Below are 21,375 nucleotides of genomic sequence, written 5' to 3' on the forward strand. Positions count from 1 at the left end.
CCACTGATAATGGTGGGGTATGAAGGACGTGCCCTCTGCCAAGTAATCCTAAATATAGGTTTGGCATGGCCAAGCTGGAGGTGTGGATTTAGGAGTCACCATTCTGGCAGTGAAAAGTTAACATCAGGAGAATGGATGAGGACACTCAAATGAGAGCCTAAGAAGGACCCAGACATTCCTGCTTCCCTGCCTCCCTCTTCTCCCTCTCCCTCAGCCTAAACTCAGTCATCCAACAGAGATTTTATTGAGTATCTACTATATGCCAGGCAAGGTGTTAGACAAAATTGAAGAAGGAGACGGGGTGCGGTGGCTCACGCTTGTAATCCCAGCACTTTTGGGGAGGCCAGGACCAGAGGATCACTTGAGCAAAAGAGTTCGAGACCAGCCTGGGCAACATAGGAAGACTCGGTCTCTACAAATAATAAATAAATTAGCCGAGCATAGGTGCACACCTGGGGTCCCAACTACTCTGGAGGCTGAGTTGGGAGGATTGCTTGGGTCTGGGAGGTCAAGGCTGCAGTGAGCCATGACCCGCCACAGCACTTCAACCAGGGCGATAGAGCAAGACCCTGTCTCCAAAAAAAAAAAAAGATGAAGAAAGAGGAGGAGGAGTAACATGAAGATGAGAGAGAGGAAGAAGAAAGGAAGAAGGAGAGCAGGAGGGGGAGGAGGGAGCTCTTTCTTTCTTTCCTTTTTTTTTTTTTGTTTTTGAGACAAGGTCTGGCTCTATCCCCCAGGCTGGAGTGCCGTGGCAGATCATGGCTCACTGCAACCTCTGCCTCCTGGGCTAAAGCAATCCTCCCACCTCAGCCACCCAAGTAGATGAGACTACAGGTGCACACCACCACACCTGACTGGGATTATAGGCATGAGCCACTGCGTCTGGCCACTCTCTTTTTCTTTCTCTTTTCGTATCTTTTCTGCATCATTTGAGAGGGATTTGAAGGCTCTGTGGCCCTCGAGACTTCAGTGTATATTTCCTAAGAATTAAGATATTCTCAGCTGATGATTTTTTGCTCTCTAAAGAAAGAAAATATTTTTTATTAAAATATATATATATTTATATATATTTTCTCAGCTGGGTGTTGTGGCTCATGCTTGTAATTCCCAATACTGAGGCAGGAGAATTGCTTGAGGCCAGGAGTTCAAGACCAGGCTGGGCAACATGGCGAGACCCCATCTCTACAAAAATACAGAAAAATGAGCTGGGTGTGGTGGCACGTGCCTGTGGTCCCATGACTCGGGAGGCTGAAGTGGGAGGATCACTTTAGCTGGGGAGGTGGAGGTTGCAGTGAGTTGAGCACTCCAGCCTGGGCTACAGAGTGAAACGCTGTCAAAAAAAGAAAAAAGAAAAAAAAGATACTCTCTTATACATGCAGTATAATGATCAAAATCAGGAAATCCAACATAAACAGAATGCCCTTATCCAGCCCACAATCCACACTTGAATTTCATCACCCGTCCCTGCAGCTTTCCTGGCGGGCCTGGGCCCTGATCCAGGATGGCCGAGTGCTGAGTCATGCACCCCTCTTCACCCGAAGCTCCTCCGCCCACACCTTGTACAGGCGCCTTCTTATCTCCCAGGTCCGAGTCTAACCGCAGCTCCCCACCTGCTCATCCTTACGGGGGCGGAGATGCGGTCTCACAGTGCCTGGCTCTGTAACTTCAAAGCACGTGTCCACATCCTGGTCTGTCCTGTCCTCTCCACGAAAAGTGATCCCCAGGGTCAGGGTGTGCCTCGTTGCCACTGCAGGGACTGGGCATCCAGACCCTGCAGGGGGGACACTGGGATCACCATCGGCCTCTCTGCTCATGAGCTGCGTGACCTTGGGCAACTTAGCCCTTTTGTGCAGCTGTAAAATGAGGATGGTGGCTGCACCCCATCTGGAGTTTTCTGAGAGGCAAACGGGTCTGTTATGAGAATCCAATGAGTCCTTATGTGTAAAGCACTCAGGACAGTGCCGGGCACATAGAAAGTGCTCAGTAGGCCCGGCACGGTGGCTCACACCTGTAATCCCAGCACTTTGGGAGGCTGAGGTGGGTGGATAACTTGAGATCAGGAGTTCGAGAATAGCCTGGCCAACATGTCAAAACCCTGTCTCTTCTAAAAATATAAAAATTAGCCAGGCGTGGTGGCATGCACCTGTAGTCCCAGCTACTTGGGAAGGTGAGGCAGGAGAATTGCTTGAACTCAGGGGGCGAGGTTGCAGTGAGCCTAGATCACACCACTGCGCTCCAGCCTGGGTGACAAGAGTGAGACTCCATCTTTAAAAAAAACGAAAGTGCTTAGTAACCAAGAGCCCTCTCCCCCACTTTCCTCCTCCCCTTCTCCTCCTTCTTCCTCTTCCTCCTCCTTCATATTCATCCTCACCATCTAGCATAGTGCCTGGCACACAGTAGATACTCAAGGAAACCCCAGCAATCTCTTCAGCAGTGGGAGGGCACAGAAACAAGCGTGGGGAAGACGGGCAGAGCATTTAGAGCTGGGGCCATCATCTTACCAAGCCCCGCCATTCTGCACACCATGAACAATTGGAAGAGTCAAGTAATAGGGAGTTTGTGGACACAAAAGAGGAAAGAATGCGTTTCCTTTTTTTTTTTTTTTTTGAGACGGAGTCTCACACTGTCGCCCAGACTGTAGTGTAGTGTAGTGGCACGATCTCGGCTCACTGCAAGCTCCACCTCCTGGCTTCATGCCATTCTCCTGCCTCAGCCTCCCGAGTAGCTGGGACTACAGGCGCCTGCCACCACGCCCAGCTAATTTTTTGTATTTTTAGTAGAGACGGGATTTCACCATGTTAGCCAGGATGGTCTCAATCTTCTGACCTCATGATTCGCCCGCCTCGGCCTCCCAAAGTGCTGGGATTACAGGAAGAACGCGTTTTCAACCGCAGGAGATGGAAGCACCTCAACTTGATCTCATGCATATAAAGGTGTTGGAGTGCGGGCCGTGCCACGACTGGCATAGCCACACTCTGCCTGCCTGCATGTGTCCATGTCACGGAGGGAAAGGAGAGACCTTCTGGATTGATCCACAGGTTATCAGGGCAAGTTCGTCACCATCACAATCATCATGACAGCTCCCATGGATTAAACACTTCTCTGCACAAGGCTCAGTGCTGCACACTTTGCGTGATGATTTCTGTCCTTATTGTGGGATGTTCCCCCTTTGCAGGTGCGGAATCTCAGGCTCAAAGAGACTGAGGCCACACAGGTCATCAGTGGCCGAGCTGAGATTAAGCAAAGGGTCTGGCTGGGCACGGTGGCTCACGCCTGTAATCTCAGTACTTTGGGAGGCTGAGGCGGGTGGATCACCTGAGGTCAGGAGTTCGAGACCAGCCTGACCAACATGGTGAAACTCCCCCTCTACTAAAAATACAAAATTAGCTGGGTGTGGGTGGCACATGCCTGAAATCCCAGCTACTTGGGAGGTTGAGGCAGGAGAATCGATTGAACCCAGGAGGCGGAGGTTGCAGTGAGCCAAGATCGTGCCATTGCACTCCAGCCTGGGCAACAAGAGTGAAACTTGGTCTCAAAAAAACAACAACAAAAAAAAGCAAAGGGTCTGAGAAAGTGGAGGGCAGAGCCTGTGGGAGAGGAAGTGATCTTGGCCTTCCCCAGACTGGAAGTTAGAAGAGACAATGGAGAAGCAGCAATATGTTGAGCTGAATGGAGCAGGCTCAGGGCCCATGCTGAACGAGGGCTCCATTGCTGGGTCCTGTGCATAGTTTTCTGGGGAAGACAGTGGGCAGCAGCCTCGGAAGCCAAGCAGAAGACCACCCATAATAGGAGCTGGGGGATTTTGCTAGGCGGAAAATGGAAGGTGAATAAAAAGATTGGCCAACACCAGCAGCTTGAGTCTATGATGGTGGGAGGGCCGGGCCCTGCGTCTCCCCGGAGCCTTCCGTGACTTGGGAATGGAGAGGGTGTCTGGAGGGGTCCCCGGCAGGAGCTTGGTGAACATGCAGCTGGGACAGGTTGGAAAGGGCTCTGTGGTGGAGAGAGGGTCGGGTACCCAGGATGGCCTTCCACATGGTAAGTCAGCATCCCTTGTTGATTTAGGAGGGAGTTCAGGCCCTCAGTAAACTAAGAGCGGTGACGACCCAGGGAAGGAGGGCCAAGGTCAGAACCTTTGGATGTGTGCCTGCGGGGAGTGGGGAGGAGAAAGGGCCCTGGAGCAAAGGGGCCAGAGGAGCGGGAAGGTGAGCATGACCCTGCTGCGCCCAGAGGCCCCAGGAGGTAGGGGTTTGCAGAGTCAGGCAACAGGGGTTCCTGGAGGACAGGCCAGGCCACCCTGGTGATCGGGAGCCCGTGGGGGACTCCAGTTCTTTCAGTTGCCTGATGTCAAGGAATGAAGGACAGGGAGGAGGATGTCACATAGGCACTAGCTAACATTTAAAATGCAGGAAGCACAAAATGTGTCAACCAAACTGGTTTTTTCTTTCTGAGCTGTGAGGAACCGAGGCTGACCTGCCTCGGCCCAATATTACAGAGGACGGAGTGTCGGGGGTGATGGGCCTGGCTGTCCCCCGGGGTCAGGAGTGCTGACTTCATGGGATGTCGCTCGATCCCCTGGAACCAGCCTGCCTGGAAGTTATGCTCAGGGTAAACTTTTTTTTTTTTTCCTGAGTTGGGGTCTCAGTATGTTGCCCCAAATGGAGTGCAGTGGCACCATCTCTGCTCACTGCAACCTCCACCTCCCAGGCTCAAGCGATCCTCCCATCTCAGCCTCCCGAGTAGCTTGGACCACAGGTGCGCACCACCTGACCCGGCTCATTTTTTGCATCTTTAGTAGAGATAGGAGTTTTGCCATGTTACCCAGGCTGGTCTTGAACTCCTGAGCTCAAGCAATCCTCCTACCTCAGTCTCCTAAAGTGTTGAGACTACAGGTATGAGCCACTGTGCCCGGCCCAGGGTAATCTTGATTGTCACCGGGACCCAAAGGTGGAATAATAACATGGACTTCCGAGAGTCTTGACAGGCTTCGCTAATTTGAATGGAATGCAGTCACTGGATGAGGGTACAGAGAATCCCTGAGCAGAATCCTGGGTGTTTGTTTCTTTCCTGTGGTCCTGCCCTGCCCAGGCCTCTGAGAAATGCAGAGCCTTTCCTCTCCCCATCCCTCCCTCTCCCTCAGAGGTGATTTTGAAAGGTCTCAGCTTCTTATGCATACCCCTTGGGGTCAGGAGGTAAGAAGCTTTTTTATTTTAGGCCTCTGGCGGAAGATTAATGGGACTGCCCCTGGCGAGGTGGCAGAGGGCAGGTCTGGCTGAGAGCTTGTGTTCAGGGGTTTGGGGAGGGGACACCGGGAAAGGAACGAGGGCCCCACTGCACATAGCACCCTTGCTGGGAAGGGTGAGGGCTGCAGACACTTGTAAGCCTGCTTGACTTTGAGGGGGACGTCTGGGTCTTCTGGGGCCAAGTCCTTGGAGAACTCTGGAGAGGCTCTGGGACCCCCAGGGCCCACGACGACGCAGTGCTCAGCTGAGAGGCCAGGGAAAGGGAGGTGGCTGCTGTACCCTAGAAACGAGACCCCTTCCTCTGTTCCAGTCTCTCGGATGAAGAGTTGGAGGGACAAAGCTACCTTATAGTGGCTGACATTGCCTCCCACCTTGTCCTGCAGGACACCAAAGCCAGATGACCTTTGATTTAGAAGCATAATGCGACAATTCTTGCACCTGAGTGCCGTGGGACCCATTCACTCCTTCCTGGCCCCAAGCAGCTGACGCAGGAGGCCTAAGTTTTAATTGATATAGACTTGAAATATTCAAAGAGCTAAGCTATCAAATCCATCTTGTTCTCTGCATTTTTCTTATAACACAGAGTATGCCCCAGTGTTGAATAACCATGCCGGGGACAGCAGGAAAGGGACTCACGGGTTGTGAATTTACATGTGACGTCAGAAAGGCTCTGTAGACAGGAGGCGGGATGTGCGCCTGGCCAGCACCCCCCACCCCGCCTCCATGCGCAGTGATTACAGGCTGGATGGCACGTAGTGAGCCAGGCGAGGTCACCTTTGCACAAGCGGAGTGACTTTTCCCCCAATCTCATACCAGTCTGGCAGCATGTATGAAAAGAACGGTGAGAGAAGCTGTTTTATGCATTTCTAAAGGAAGCAGAGAAGTAAGAGCTTGGTATTTTTCAAATGGAACTCAAAGGTCTTTGCAGCCTGGGCTCGGCACTGGGCTGAGAGCCGTCAGAGGAGCTGCTGCAGGGGTGGCTGCCATTCCTCAACCCGATTCTATCGTTATTATTTACATTCTATGTCTTCTCTTTCAAGATTATTTTTTTGACATTTGCCTTCTGGCAGAGCTGGGACCAATGAGTGGGAGGTGGATTTTGGCGGAACACAGGAGGAATTCTCTTAGTCAGAGCCATCCAAAAATGGAAAGACCTGACTCAGAAGACAGCGTGTCCCCTGCCTGCATAAGGTCCTGGTGAGGTCCTGTCAAGGGTGCTCTGCCCTGTGCTTTGACAGGTGTGTGCGGAGATGAAAGGTAAATAGCCATTCTTGAGCGTGTCCTCTGTGCCAGACACTGTTTTAGGTACTTTTACGTGAACTAACACATTTAACCTACAAACAACCCTATGAGACAGGAACTATTATTGCCTATTATTACCCTCGTCTTACAGATGAGGAAACTGAGGCACAAAGAAGTTTAGTAACCCGCCCAGGTCACAGGGCTGGTATTCTAGGGAGGCAGGACTCAGCCCCAGGTGGCCTAGTGGCCTTGCTCCTACCTTGACCACCAGTGAAGTTGATCCTCTCATCAGCTGACCGGGCACAGTGACCAGCTGTTCTGTGCTAAAAGGAGTTTAGAAGGCAGCTGACTCAGCCCAAAATGTGGGGTTAGAAGTCAAGAAGGCTTTTAGACAGGGAACATCAGTCAACGAGTAACAGAGGCTAGGCTTGAACTCTCTGAAAGGAAGCCTGGGGGTGCCTGGCACACATCCCGTCCCGCCGCAGGCGCAGGTGGAACCAGGGAGTTTGGGGCCCGCCACTCCTGGGCTCAGCATGCAGTTAGCTCCGCACCCCCTTGCACCCCAGGTCTACGAGTTGGCTTTTTGCTTAGTTCATTCAAGTGAGTCTCCGACTTCTCCTCCAGTTTCAGGAATCTGTCCCAGATTTCTCCCTGGGCTGAGTTCTTGCCTTGGTCACCTGCCCAGGACTGCAGTTTCTCTGATACCACCTCAGGGGAGGGGCAGGACCTAGACCCTCAGAATCTGGCCTTGAAGCCTGGATACATCTGGGGAGCTGCTCACGCTTCTCAGCTGCATTTGCCTTGGTTGAGGATGGGAAGAAGATGCCTCCTTCCAAAGATTGCCGTGAAGATGGCGATGCGATAATGTGAAATCGCTGTGCGCGCGGCTGGACTCTATCAATCATGGTTGTCTTCCCACCTTTGCCACAGACTGAAGGTCCCTTCCTGAGCTCAGCCTGTTGGCATTCAGTCCCTGGGGCTGAACCTGGGCGAGCCAGGTGCCTCCTGCAAAAAGAGACAGTTCAACAAAGTGCAAGGAGGAAAGCTCTTCTGTACCACCATGCCCTGTGGAGGGTACCGTGTGCAAGGACTATCAGAGAGGTTCAGGACTGCCCTTCGGTTGAGCTCAGTGACTCTTTGTTCTTTGTTTTGTTTTGTTTAGTTTTTTGAGACAGGGTCTCACTCTTGCCCAGGCTACAGTGCAGTGGTGTGATCTCGGCTCACTGCAACCTCTGCCTCCCAGGTTCAAGCCATTCTCCTGTCTCAGTCTCCTGAGTAGCTGGGATTACAGGCATGCGCTACAACACTTGGCTAATTTTTGTATTTTTAGTAGAGACGGGGTTTCGCCATATTGACCAGGCTGGTCTCGAACTCCTGACCTCAGGTGATCCGCCCACCTCGGCCTCCCAAAGTGCTGGGATTACAGGCATGAGCCACCAGGCCTGGCCTCAGCGACTCTTTGAACCAGCGTCTGAGTCAGGAAACAAGGGTACCACTAGGCTCCAGGACCTGCTCTGTCTGTAAAATGAGAAGCAACTAGAATATCCCTAAAACTCCTCTTAGCTATAAAATGTTCTGATTCATGACCAAGGGAAGAAAGAAAATGTGTATGTAACCAAATAAAAATACTTTCTGATGTGAGCCAAGGAAGGGGACAGAAGTATTTGGCTTCCTCATTCAGCCCCACCCTATAGAAAGTTCTGGCTCTGGCATGAAGACACACTGGTCTGGTTTCCTCTCGCTTTTATTTCACAAGAGCCCCCAAATATGACATTTACGAATGCTCTGATAGTAGATCCTATTCAGGTGATTGGCCTGGAGGCTGAAACTTTACACAACAGCTTCCCCTGGGGCCTGGCAATCTTAAGGATTGGTGAAACTTTCAGCTAAGAGTAAAGAGCTTCTCACGTGGTTCTCATGGTGATGTTTTCCTTGCAACGGTTCTATAAAATGGGTTAAAATAATTTTTATGATCTTGCACTTGGGAAAACCAATAGACACAAAGGTTTAGTTATTTTTCCACAATGTGTGAATATGGGAAAAGTGGAAGAAGTTTTGATCCCAGAATTGGCTAGCTCCTTCTCAACAAGCAAACCCTGGGATCTTTTCCAATCACATCTTTGATGAGAAGAAAGTGGCTTCTTGCTCTCCAACAAATATTTGCCCCCAGATTCCTGCACCTACTGTACAATTAGAGAAAATTCCTGAGGGCTGAAGTCGAAGCTTCTGTCTTCTGTCTTCCTGTCAAGGTATCTTGGACCTCTGGCCAAACACTCAGATTAAAAGAGGAAATATCTTCATGGCTAATTTCTTTTTTTTTTTTTTTTTTTGACATGGAGTCTCACTCTACCACCAAGGCGGGAGTGCAGTGGTGTGATCTCAGCTCACTGCGACCTCCACCTCCGGGGTTCAAGCGATTCTCCTGCCTCAGCCTTTCGAGTAGCTGGGATTACAGGCGCCCGCCACCACGCCCGGCTAATTTTGTGTATTTTTAGTAGAGACGGGGTTTCACCGTGTTAGCCAGGATGGTCTCAATCTCCTGACCTCGTGATCCACCCACCTCGGCCTCCCAAAGTGCTGGGATTACAGACGTGAACCACTGTGCCCAGACTTTTTTTTTTTTGAGACAGACTCTCACTCCTGTCGCCCAGGCTGGAGTGTATTGGCGTGATCTCAGCTCACTGCAACCTCTGCCTCTGGGGTTCAAGTGATTCTCCTGCCTCGCCCTCCCAAGTAGCTGGGATTACAGGTGCACACCGCCAAACCCAGCTAATTTTTTTTGTATTTTAGTAGTGATGGGGGTGCATTTTACTGTGTTGCCCAGGTTGGTCGCGAACTCCTGAGCTCAGGCTATCGGCCAGCCTCAGCCTCCCAAAGTGCTGGCATTACAGGCGTGAGCCACCACACCCAGCTGACATTCTGAAACAGAATTTCTGAAATCCCAACTCTTCTCTACCCTAAAAGACAGTTCTGCCCAGTGGGGCCCAGTGAGTCGTCTCAGAGCATTGGGTCCTGGTATGAAACGAGACAAAGCAGCCTCTGTCACACCCTTACCATGAAGGATCGTTCATCCGATTGGAGGGCAACAGAGGGAAATGTTGACATCCTCAATTTCATCAGAATCCTTTTCCAAAGACACAAATAAGACGTCTTAAATATGGAAAATATGCATCATGATGTTGAAATCTCACAACTAAACATCATTTCCGGTCCTGTGTGTTTACTAAGTTTATATTCCCAATTTTAAAACTACCGATCAATTCTTTTTTTTTTTTTAGATGGAGTCTCACTCTGTCGTGTCGCGATCTGGGCTCACTGCAACCCAGATTCGGTTCAAGCCGATTCTCCTGCCTCAGCCTCCTGAGTAGCTGGGATTACAGGCACCCACCACCATGCCTGGCTACTTTTTGTGTTTTCAGTAGAGTTGGGGTTTCACCATATTGACTAGGCTGGTCTCAACTCCTGACCTTTTGACCCGCCTGCCTCGGCCTCCCAAAGTGCTGGATTACAGGTGTGAGCCACCATGGCCGGCCAATCAATTCTTTTTTTAAAAAATATAGATTTATTTAGAACCAGGGGAGAGAGTGAATTGCAGTCCCTAACTACCACAAATGATGCAGTTGCGTTTCCCACATTTGGAGAAATGGCCGGGGTCAGCATATCCAGAGTGCAGGGCATGAGCCTCGCCCTGGGAAACCACCTTCGTGATCCTGGTACCTCCCCTGCGGATAAGCGTTATTGACTAATGAGGTAATAATACTGTTTCTTAGAAAAGTGAAGTAAGGCTAGGCCCGGTAGCTTATGCCTGAAATGCCAGCACTTTGGAAGGCTGAGGTGGGAGGATCCCTTGAGCTCAGGAGTTTGATATCAGCCTGGGCAACAGAAGGAGACTCTGTCTCTACCAAATGAAAAAAAACAAAAAAACAGAAAGTAAGTTTAGGAAATTTTGATTATGGGTGGAAATTGTCATAAACTTGGGATGAGAGGAAGGTCTTGGACATTATAAGTGGGTCGTATTCCCCAGGCTCGGTGAGTTGGTTTTGAGGGGCCAAAGACCACATTTTCAGTTCAGAAAAGGATTTGCCTGGAGGCCATAGGATTGCAGTGTCATCTGACGAGCTCCATGCTGGGGACTTTTACAATGACCGGGGACACAGAGCAGCGTTTCTTTTCTGGTTGTCTTTAGACTTAACATAATGATCCAGAAGCAGAGACTTCTGCTGCCAATCTGTAACTTTCTTTTCTAAACATATTTCCGTGGTCTCTGGGAGAATGTTAACATAAGAGCCAGTGTGCGTGAGGCCAGGCGCGGTGGCTCACACCTGTAATCCCAGCACTTTGGGAGGCCGAGGCAGGCAGACCACTTGAACCCAGGAGTTCAAGACCAGCCTGACCAACGTGGTGAAACCCCATCTCTACTAACAATACAAAAATTAGTTGGGCTTGGTGTTTTGTGCCTGTAATCCCAGCTACTCAAGAGGCTGAGACAGGAGAATCACTTGAACCTGGAATGTGGAGGCTGCAGTGAGCCGAGATTGTGCTGCTGCATTCCAGCCTGGGCGACAAGAGCCAGACTCCATCTCAAAAAAAAAGAGCCAGTGTGCGTGAACCTCGTGCAGCTGTCAGCATGAGGTGGGCTCTGCGTCAACACAATGTTAGCTAATGCAGGACGCCATGATGAATTACATCTCATGTTTTCCATTTATCCCCCAATGATAGCAGTTTTTGTTTTTTTGTTTTTTGTTGTTTGTTGTTTTTGAGATGGAATTTCACTCTTGTCACTCAGGCTGGAGTGCAGTAGCACGATCTCTGCTCACTGCAACTGCCGCCTCCCGGATTCAAGCGATTCTCCTGCCTCAGCCTCCCAAGGAGCTGGGATTACAGGCACCCACCACCATGCCCGGCTAATTTTTGTATTTTTAGTAGAGACGGGGTTTCACCATGTTGGCCAGGCTGGTCTTGAACTCCTGACCTCAGGTGATTCACCCGCCTCAGCCTCCCAAAGTGCTGGGATTACAGGCGTGAGCCACCGCGGCTGGTCGACAATAGCAGTTTTAAAAGAGAACAAAAATTATGGCCCATTGTCACAGTGAGGGTTTTGATAGGATTTATTAGTTATAAATATTTTTGATTTGTACATCAGCTTCTTTATTCTACCCTCCCAAAGGCAGAAGGAATATTTATTAACCTCCCCTCTCATTGTCCACCAAGCCTAGGATCTGAGATGCTATGAAATTTCTCCTACAATAAATCTGGGTTATAGGATGCACCTCAAAACATAGGAACCTTTGCATCGTTTTCCACTGCCACTAATTCTAAAATTTTCTCTTTTTTTTGAGATAGGGTCTTACTCTGTCGCCCAGGCTGCAGTGTAGTGGCACAATCACTACTCACCGTGGCCTCAACCTCCCGGGCTCAAGCAATGCTCCCACCTCAGCCTCCTGCGTAGCTGGGACTACAAGCACACACCATCATGCCTGGCTTATTTTTATTTTTTGTAGAGAGGGAGTCCCGCTGTGTTGCCCAGGCTGGTCTTGAACTCCTGGCCTCAAGCGATCCTCCCACTTCGGCCTCTCAAAGTGTTGGGATTCTAGGTGTGAGTCACCACCCCGGCCCTAGAAATTTTCATTGTCAGATGAACATCATTTCCCTAGGCTGGTGTTGGGAAGCTGGGGGATCCTGTGTTCTCTCCAGCACTGGGTTTTCCCAAGCAGAAAATGAGCCTTATCGTGTACTCGGAATCGTCAGATATTCGTAGAGCCAGAAAACATCTTGAAAATCATGTTATCTCTTTGCTTTTTGCAGATGAGGATGTCAAGACTTGGAGTAGGTGACAGTTGGCCTTGGGCTTCGGTGGCCAACCCATGACTACAAAAGCCCGAGAAGCCAGCAGCTTCCCCGGCTCCTCCACCAAGTGGCCTCTGGGTGATGGGGAAGCTTGTCCTCTGCTTTGTCACACACAAAACTCTAAAAGTCAGCATCCCAACGCATCGGCCTGGAGAGCCCGTCCAGGTGAGAGACACACACTGGAGGATGTGTTGGGGCCAGAGGCAGAGCCAGCGATGTCACTGCCAGGTCCCGTGCAACACGACAACACGGGACTCCTGGTTCCAAAAGCAGGAGAAAAGCTTTTTCCTTTCCTCCCTTCACCTGTCACAGTGGTTTTTATTTGTGATTGAATGGTGTGCTCCCTGGGACGGGGGGTTCTCAAAGACATCTCTGGGAGTCTCACAGACTCAGGTGCCCAGGGGCAGGGTGCTTGAGTCCCAACCCTGAAACCCTAACTGTCCTTGATCCCCACAGTCCGTGCCCTCCTGCCAGCAGATCCTTTGTCCCACTGGATTTCATTTACAAACCACAAAGTCAGAAAGAAAAGTATTAAGAAATCCAAGAGGGGCCGAGCGCGTGGCTCACACCTGTAACTCCAGCACTTTGGGAGGCCGAGGTGGGCGAATCACATGAGGTCAGGAGTTCGAGACCAGACTAGCCAACATGGTGAAATCCCTTCTCTACTAAAATACAGGAATTAGCCGGGCATGGTGGCACACACCTGTGATCCCAGCTATTCAGTAGGCTGAGGCAGGAGAATCGCTTGAACCCAGGAGGCGGAGGTTGCAGTGAGCCGAGATCGAGCCACTGCCCTCCAGCCTGGGTGACAGAGCAACACTCCGTCTCAAAAAAAAGAAGTCCAAGAGGGCAATTGCAGAGAATTAAACCCCCTGGGCGGGCCCATCTGAGGGCAAGGGTCTGAGCTTCCACATTGGCCATAGGCCGGGGAAGCCTGGCCAGAGGTGAGCAGCCGCTTGGATGTCTGCGATGGCTCCAGAGGTAACAGAGACTCGAAGACCAGGGAGAATGCAAGCTTCAGGGCTGGGCACAGTGGCCCACACCTGTAATTCTAACACTTTGGGAGGCCAAGGTGGGCAGTTCCCTTGAGCCCAGGAGTTGGCAACCAGCTTGAGCAACATGGTGAATCCCTGTCTCTACCAGAAAGAAACAGAAAAAAGGAAAGAAAAGAAAGAAGAAAGAAAAAAAGAATGCAAGCTTCATGTTTGGCTGTAGCCTCCGCTGAGGGAGCCTCTCCAGTCCCGACTGCCGCGTGCCCTGGGTGGCGGAGGAATTTGGGGGTGGACCTATCTCAGTTGTATCTGGAAGAATTCTCAGGTTAGAGGGTGAAAAATATCTTTTTTATCCTTTCTCTTTTTATTTTTATTTTTATTTGAGCTAAGGTCTTCACCTAGGTCTGTCACCCAGGCTGGAGTGCAGTGGTGACATCACGGCTCAATGCAGCCTTGACCTCCTGGGCTCAGGTGGTCCCCCCACCTCAGCCTCCTCGGTAGCTGGGACTACAGGTGCACACCACCACACTCAGCTAATTTTTATATTTTTTGTAGAGATGGGGTTTCACTTTATTGCTCAGATTGGTCTCGAACCCCCCAGGCTCAGCAATCTGCCCGCCTCCGCCTCCCAAAGGGCTGAGATTACAAGTGTGAGCCACCGTGCCCGACCAATGTCATTTCTTAACGTTGATTTCCCCCTTAAGATGGGCACTGTGCCGAGAGATGTGGGAAAGAGTCTGCAAGCAGCCCCTTCCCCCGTCATCTGAATCTTTCATTTGTAAATAGGAGGATTTATGTGGAATCTGGCTTTTCTGATAGCATCGACGTTCCTTCCCGTGCCTTCTGAGTCTGTTTCTCTTAATTTGACTGTGGTCTCTGCTCTTCGCTGGACTCAGTAAGTATCTCACGCTCAGTTTTGGTGGAGGTCATGGATTTAACCCTTAGAGAAACCGTGGGGCAAGACTCAAGCTCATGAAGCCATGAGACGGCGAACCCCACATGTGAAGGCACCAGCTGGTAGTGAATATTCCCTGGGGAGGCGACCTTGGTGTTAATTCATTTATCAAGAATCATGAGGCCGGGCGCGGTGGCTCACACCTGTAATCCCAGCGCTCTGGGAGGCTGAAGTGGGCAGATCACAAGGTCAGGAGTTCGAGACCAACCTGGCCAACATGGTGAGGCTCCTTTCTCTACTAAAAATACAAAAAGTAGTCAGGCATGGTGGCAAGAGCCTGTAGTTCCAGCTACTCGGAAGGCTGAGGCAGGAGAATGGCGTGAACCCGGGAGGCGGAGGCAGTGAACCGAGATCACGCTACTGCACTCCAGCCAGGCCAACAGAGCGAGACTCCATCTCAAAAAAAAAAGAATCATGGCATCCAGCACCCTTCTAGGCACTTCACAAAACCATGCAGTTATTTTGTCCTGACCACAACCCTGAGGCAGGTGCTGTTATCATTCCTGGTCTTCGGATGCAAAGAGTGAAGCCCGGAGGGAGAGACTGCATACCAGGCTCCGATTCTGACTCCCAGAAAATGGGGAGCTTGGAGCCAGCCCAGGTGGAGCAGCCTCGGGTGCTCCACTCCACTGCCTCGTGATCACCTGCAAGGGCTTTATGCACCCAGCACCCAGCACCCAGCACCCACGCAGGCGGTGCAGGGAGCAGGTCTCTTTACCAATTTAGTTGCCACATCCCCAAAAAGCATTGAGTCCTGGAGCAGAGATCGTTTCAGCGATAGTGAGTTTGGGAGATGCTGAGATCGACTCTTGATGGGTCGTGGAGCTACCAGGCTCCTCTGCCTGGGGAGGAACAGGTGGCTACCCTCTGGAACATCCCAGCTACTCAGGAAGGCTGAGGCAGGAGAATCGCTTGAACCCAGGAGGCAGAGGTTGCGGTAAGCTGAGATCATGCCACTGCACTTCAGCCTGGGCAACAAGAGCGAAACTCGGTCTCAAAAAAAAAAAAAAAGGAAGGGAGGAGTGATATTAAAAGAGCCCGTTCTAAGGACAAAGGCCCCCACTTGCGCAAAGCTAATTATCAGAACCATGGCTAGAAAACTCGCAGAGTTTGGGCAGGCCACCTCCACCCTCATTTCCTCCCCTAAGTACCCCTCTACAGACATCTGCTACCTAAGAACACACGAACACAATGTGGACCTACGGCCCTGTTATTCCAGCTTGGAAAAAAAAAAATCACACCAGGTTGACTCGGTTGGGCTCTGCACCCCAAATGCCATAGCGGCCTCCGGGGGAGGCGGGGAGCGCTGTGTTGGCCCCTCACGCTCGCTGGACTTTCTGCCAGCCTGCCCTCTTTAGCGCTGGTCGGGCTCTGTGGTGGATATGTCGAAAGTTAGGGGAACATTGAGTCATCTCCTCCCTTTCAGCTGCGGCATATTTCTGGGAATGCGAAGCACATTTGAGCGACGTGACATTCCTTACCTCGCGGCAGCAAGGCAACTGCCCACTTCCTTTCGAGTCATGTTGCATCATCTTTCAGAACAGGACTAAACAAATAGTCTCGATACATGGCTTTAGGAAAGAAAAGCAAGTGTGCACGTTTGAACCCCACCCTCTCCGTGTGCTAGGGCACGATTCTCCTGCCCCCGAGGGAGAGAGGGCACACACCGTTGTGGTTAGTCTCCTGCCTTTCCACAGATAAGAACCACGTATATGTGTTCTATGCGCATCTCATAATCACAAAAAAGAGGCATGTGACATTCAATATAGGTGTGTTTCCTAACACATGTGTCAGAGGCGTCTATGGCTACGTCAGTTCTAGTGATGGGCATTGCAGTTTTTAAAATTCCTTGTCCTTGTCATCTTGGAATAAGTCACAGGAAAGGTAAATGATCTGTGTAAACCCTTTGGCCTGTGGATCAACTTTTATACATCTAAACCTGGGAAAAAATGTTATTTATTAGCAAGAGAGTGAACAAACATTTCAAGCTTGCAGAGGGAAGCTGGGGGTGCAGAGAGGATGCAAAAGTGAACAGAACGGGCATCTGTTCTCAAGAGGCTGCAGGGTCATGGTGGAGACAGAGCCCTGTGGAGCAGGATGCGTGGGCAGTGGACAGTGCACCAAGTGTTTGCTCAGGGGAGCGGGACCCAGAGGGGACCTGGAAATACAAGCTCCAGGAGGGATGTCTGAGCCCGGCGGGGGCTGCTGGGATAATAAGAAACAGTCTCCGTGCAGGTGGTGGGCACTCACAAAGAGGGATGGGAAAGTGCTGAGCACAGCTCCATCTCAGGCTGGAAACGGACTCTGCATCCAGAGCCACGGGGCCTGTGGAAGCCATGCTGGGGCTGGGACACCTCTAGGTGTTCAATGGTAGGGGGACTGTAGCCATCTAAGTCTTGAGCAGAGAGTGACCTGCTGCAGATATGCCTTGGGAAAGTCATCCTGGTGACACACTGAAATTTGTCCTGGGAAAGATTGAAGGTGGGGACATGTTAGGAGGCCATGTCAGTGCTGCAAACAGGGCTGCAATGACAGCCAGGGCTAGAGCAAGCGAGATGGGGATCACACAGCAGTGGTGCAATCGCAGTTGTGTGTGTGGAGCACTGACCCTCTGATTGCACGGTGCTGCACACTTACGCGAGCCGTCTCATTTCGCCATCAGAACCGCAGCCCTACGTGGCAGGTCAGCTATCACTCCATCTTACAGATGAAGAAACTGAGGCTCAGGGAACAGAGATAGCTGTTCACTGTCACACACTGTGTAAGCAACAGGGCCAGGACAAAAAGGGAGGTCTGTCTGATTCCATTCTCTCCCTTTAGAGTGAAATAACAGAACTGCTTGAAACCCAGTTAACTGTGGAGGGAGAGGGAGGTATTCTGGTGGCTTCTGTCGGGAGGCCTCAGAGAACAGATGACGTGACTAAGATGGGGGCAGGCAGGTGGGGGAGGAGGAACTTGTAGCTAGGCTGAGTGGGACCAGGTGAAAATCTGACACCAACAAAACACCACTGGTGGTACTGATGGTCTAGGATTGGAGCTATAGACCCGAGGTTCCTATAAAAGACTGAGGCTAGGAGTGTCCCTTTGCTACAAAAGGAAGATGTTTGTACGTATTGCTGGAGTAAGAAAGCAAGGCGCAAACAACGTCATAGAAGAGTGCCCTGAGAGTTCGTCACATTCCAGGCACTGGCTAAATGCCATGCATCTTGTGACAGCCTTTGACGTGGTGCTACCGTCATCTTCAGTTTATAGATGAGAAAACGGACACTCAGAAACATTAAGTAACTTGTCCAAGGCCATGGGGTTAGTAAGAGGTGAATCTGGGACTCGAGTTGAAGTCAAACTTCCAAGTGCATCTGCAGACACAAAATATGGGAAGAATTCACCTAATTGAGGGTTACAAAACTGTTTGCTGGGACTGTAGTCTCCTCACATTACCTTTATTTTATTTTCTTTTCTTTTATTTTTTAAGACGGAATCTCACTCTGTTGTCCAGGCTGGAGTGCAGTGGTGCCATCTCGGCTCACTGCTACCTCCACCTCCCAGGTTCAAGCAATTCTCCTGCCTTAGCCTCCCGAGGAGCTGGGATTACAGGCACACGCCACCACGCCAGGCTAATTTTTATATTTTTAGTAGAGACGGGGTTTCACCATGTTGGCCAGGCTGGTCTTGAACTCCTGACCTCAGGTGATCCACCCACCTCGGTCTCCCAAAGTGCTGAGATTACAGGCTTGAGCCACCACACCCGCCCACATTCCCTTTACATATCTGTATTCTCTAAACTGTCTACACTTAATATACAATATTTTTGTAATAGGGAAAAAATGTTTTAGGAAAGCAAAAAGGTGGAAGTGTAAACCGGTAGACACGGTAGACATTTTGGAAGACAATTTGCCAACATCCATCAAAAGTTGAAAAATTGGCCTATTCCTTGACATAGAAATTCTTTGACACAGAAATTTGTCCTAGGTGTTGAACAGGACACTGAAGGACAAGGAGGAACTTATCCATGGAGGGGGTAGGGTGAGTGCATGCAAATTCCAGAAAAAGGGAACTGCATTGTCTGCAAAAGCCTGATGGCAGGGCAGTCCATGACTGATTCCAGCCCAGTTTCTCTGCAGACTCTCCCGCTTGTCAATTATACAGACAACTGGGGCACCCTCACCCCTACCCCAACACCACCACTCAGACCTCCGGAATCAGAGTCCACAGAGGTGGGGTCAAGGAATCTGAATTTTTATTTTATCTATCCAGTGCCTTGGGTTATTCCCATGACCAGTAAGTTTGGGAAACACTGGCTGCTGCAGGAGGCATCGGGAACTGCTCTGGGAAAGCTGGGTGGAGCTGAAAGGAAATGGTCTTGGATCCCATGTGGAATTTAAATTTAATACCCAAGGCTGTTGCTTCTTTTCTTTCTTTCTAGGGGAGATGTCACAAATTCTGCACCAGAATCTCACAAATCACAAAGAACTTACTCATGTAACGAAACACCACCTGTTTCCCAGTAACTATGGAAATAAAAAAAAATTAATAATAAAAAATTTAAAAAATAAAATTTTGATGAAGGGATAACCCTTTTCCCGGAAAGACTCCCCCTCCCCTGACACTTGAACACATTTTCAGAGACCCAAGAATCAGCTCTCTGGAACCCAGTGGAAGGACCTCAGGACAGTGATTTAAACTGAGAGGGGCCTGATCATATCAGAAAGCCAACTAATCCCATGACAGTGCAGAGACCAGGCAGGTGGGGGACCGGCTAACGGTGCCTGAGAACCAAGTGAGGTTGGGAACTGAAGCAGGGGCCTTTGGGGCAATGGAGGGGGTGGGTGAGGTCAGGAAGGAGGAGAGCGCACATGGGACTCATGTGGGGGTGCAGGATTGAAAGGTGAGGGAGGCTTCCTCTTGGAGAGCCCCTGGGCAGGGCCAGGGGTGTTGGGGGTACAGGGACAATGTACCTGGACCATTTCCAGTTTACAACGAGTAGAACTGTGAGGAATTCAAGCAGACCTTCCTGGAAAGCCATGGAAATTCAGGTAGAAAGGGAAAGGGGCCGAGGCTGAAGATCTGATACTGCGTGAGCGTGGATGACGGCTGATTTTTTCTGGGGATCCCCGGCCTGCTCCAGGGAGGGGCTGTAAAACAACACAGAAAACAAGACCTGGAAGAATCCACCTCGCAGGGGCAGGCAGAGAGGAGCCCATGGAAGGGGAGAATCGGGGGAGATAGAGCAACAGAGACAGAGAGACAGAGACACAGACCGAGACAGGGGGACAGAGACCCAGAGACCAAGGGGCAGAAAGGCCATTGGGTTGGGCAGCTCAGAAGTCACTGGGGGTCCTTAAAAGTCTTTTTCTTTTGCTAACTGTGCCATGAATGTCCTTGTCCTCAGTAAAGACATGACCAAGTATTTAGAGATAGGAGACATGACCTCTGCAATTTACTTGCATAAATGGTTTAGAAAAAAATCCTTATCTATTTGGAGACAGTGATAAAGCCAGTGTGGCAAAATGCACCCCCGTGGAGAAACTAGGCCCAGGGTTTGTAGGAGTTCTTGGTCATATTCTTGCAATGTCTTTAAGTAAGTTTGAAATTATATAAACACAAAAATTCCTTTGCTTTAAAAAGAATACTTGGAGGATTTTGATGATGGTGGGTTAGCCAGCTTGGACAAAGCTTAGAGAGCAGTTTGACAGTGAAGGGAAGGAAAAGGAGGCAGTGATCCTTTTTTTTTTTCTTTCTTTCTTTCTTTCTTTTTTTTTTTTTTTTTTTTTTTGAGACTCCCAGGCTGGAGTGTAGTGGCTTTATCTCGGCTCACTGCAACCTCTGCCTCTCGGGTTCAAGCAACTCTCCTGTCTCAGCCTCCTGAGTAGCAGGGATCACAGGCGTGCACCACCACGCTTGGCTAATTTTTGTATTTTTGGTAGAGACGGGGTTTCACCACGTTGGCCAGGCTGGTCTGGAACGCATGACCTTGTGATCCGCTCGCCTTGGCTTCCCAAAGTGCTGGGATTATAGGCCTGAGCCACCGCGCCCAGCCTTTTCCTCTTTTTTTCTTTTTTCTTTTTATTTTTGAGACAGGGTCTTGCTCTGTCGCCTAGGCTGGAGTGCAGTGTCACAATCACAGCACGCTGCAGCCTCAACCTCCCGGGCTTAAGCAAGGACAGTCAGTGACTGATTCTAGCCCAGTTTCTCCATTAGATTCTTCTGCTTGTCAGTTGTACAGATTCCTGGGGCGCCCTCACCCCTACCCCAACACCACCACTCAGACCTTCGGAATCAGAGTCCGCAGGAATCTGAATTTTTATCCAGTGCCTTGGGTCATTCCTGTGACTCGTATGGGGAACAGGGAGGAGGAGAAGGTGCTCGTGCTCAGGCACACTTCAGGGCTGAAACAACTTTCCCAGAGATGAGGGCGAGGGGAGGGGACCGGAGAGCAGAGGGAGGCGAGGGAGCAGAAGGAGGAGCCCCCAGGTGGGAGGACGGGGGTCTGCCCAGCTCGGCCGGGGAGTGCAGTAGGGGGGCGTCCTCCCGACTAAGGGCAAAGGAGGTGACGGCGGGGACGCCCGCCCCGTGACGAGGAGGGCTCGGCCGAGCCGTCCCGGGGCGACAGGAAGCGGCCGCCCTTTGAAGGCCCAGCGGCGGCGCTGGGTCAGCCAGGCCAGCTTGTGGGGGAGCGGCCGCCCGCGCACGGCTGGGGCCGGGGCCAGGGCCGGAGGGCGCCGCAGGAAGGGGCCGGGGCCGGGGCGGCTTCTCTCCCCGCAGCCGGCGCCTCCACGCGGCGGTCAAGCTCGCGCGTGGGCTTTAGCAGTTTCGGGCGTGCACGTGCGCGGAGGCTCCTGCCTCTGCGGAGCTCGCGCCCTCAAGAGACTTCCAGGAGGGTTTGGAGCCCGGGTTTCTCTTTCCCCCAGCCCCGGAACCCGAGTCTGCTCCAAGTGCGCATCTGCGCGGCGGCCGACGGGGACGCAGCCCGGTGTCCCCGGCAGGACCCCGGAGCAACGTCTCCTGGAGCCTGTGCAGAAGCTGGGCTTGGCGAGGGAGGGGGTGCTTCCGGGGACACCCGCGCAGGGAAAAGGAGGATGCTAGTGACCCATCCTTTCTC

At 51.1% G+C, this 21,375-nt stretch overlaps 1 long non-coding RNA gene and 1 pseudogene across 1 annotated transcript, besides 3 other annotated features; one reads left to right on the forward strand and one right to left on the reverse strand.

Annotated features, from left to right (window-relative positions):
- Window positions 10,055–10,218, reverse strand: RNU1-7P (RNA, U1 small nuclear 7, pseudogene; annotated as a pseudogene).
- LINC01714 (long intergenic non-protein coding RNA 1714) lies at window positions 12,293–18,831 on the forward strand. The gene is made up of 4 exons (NR_125998.1): window positions 12,293–12,494; window positions 14,108–14,216; window positions 18,246–18,299; window positions 18,700–18,831. It is a non-coding gene; the product is annotated as a long intergenic non-protein coding RNA 1714 (long non-coding RNA).
- Window positions 14,913–16,112: an enhancer, noted in NCBI's record as "MED14-independent group 3 enhancer chr1:8271352-8272551 (GRCh37/hg19 assembly coordinates)". NCBI's record gives its function as "activates an origin of replication core promoter dependent on BRD2, BRD4, P300/CBP and CDK7 cofactors, and independent of MED14, by STARR-seq in HCT116 cells {active_cell/tissue: HCT116}" and the evidence as "EXISTENCE:reporter gene assay evidence [ECO:0000049][PMID:35650434]".
- Window positions 15,590–15,884: an enhancer, noted in NCBI's record as "tiled region #13854; HepG2 Activating DNase unmatched - State 1:Tss, and K562 Activating DNase unmatched - State 4:PromP". NCBI's record gives its function as "activates a minimal TATA promoter and a strong SV40 promoter by Sharpr-MPRA in HepG2 and K562 cells {active_cell/tissue: HepG2 | K562}" and the evidence as "EXISTENCE:reporter gene assay evidence [ECO:0000049][PMID:27701403]".
- Window positions 20,486–20,987: an enhancer, noted in NCBI's record as "H3K27ac hESC enhancer chr1:8276925-8277426 (GRCh37/hg19 assembly coordinates)". NCBI's record gives its function as "activates a minimal SCP1, AML or CMV promoter by ChIP-STARR-seq in naive H9 embryonic stem cells {active_cell/tissue: H9 hESC(naive)}" and the evidence as "EXISTENCE:reporter gene assay evidence [ECO:0000049][PMID:30033119]".

Source organism: Homo sapiens, chromosome 1 (genome assembly GCF_000001405.40).
Source record: "Homo sapiens chromosome 1, GRCh38.p14 Primary Assembly".
Taxonomy (NCBI): domain Eukaryota; kingdom Metazoa; phylum Chordata; class Mammalia; order Primates; family Hominidae; genus Homo; species Homo sapiens.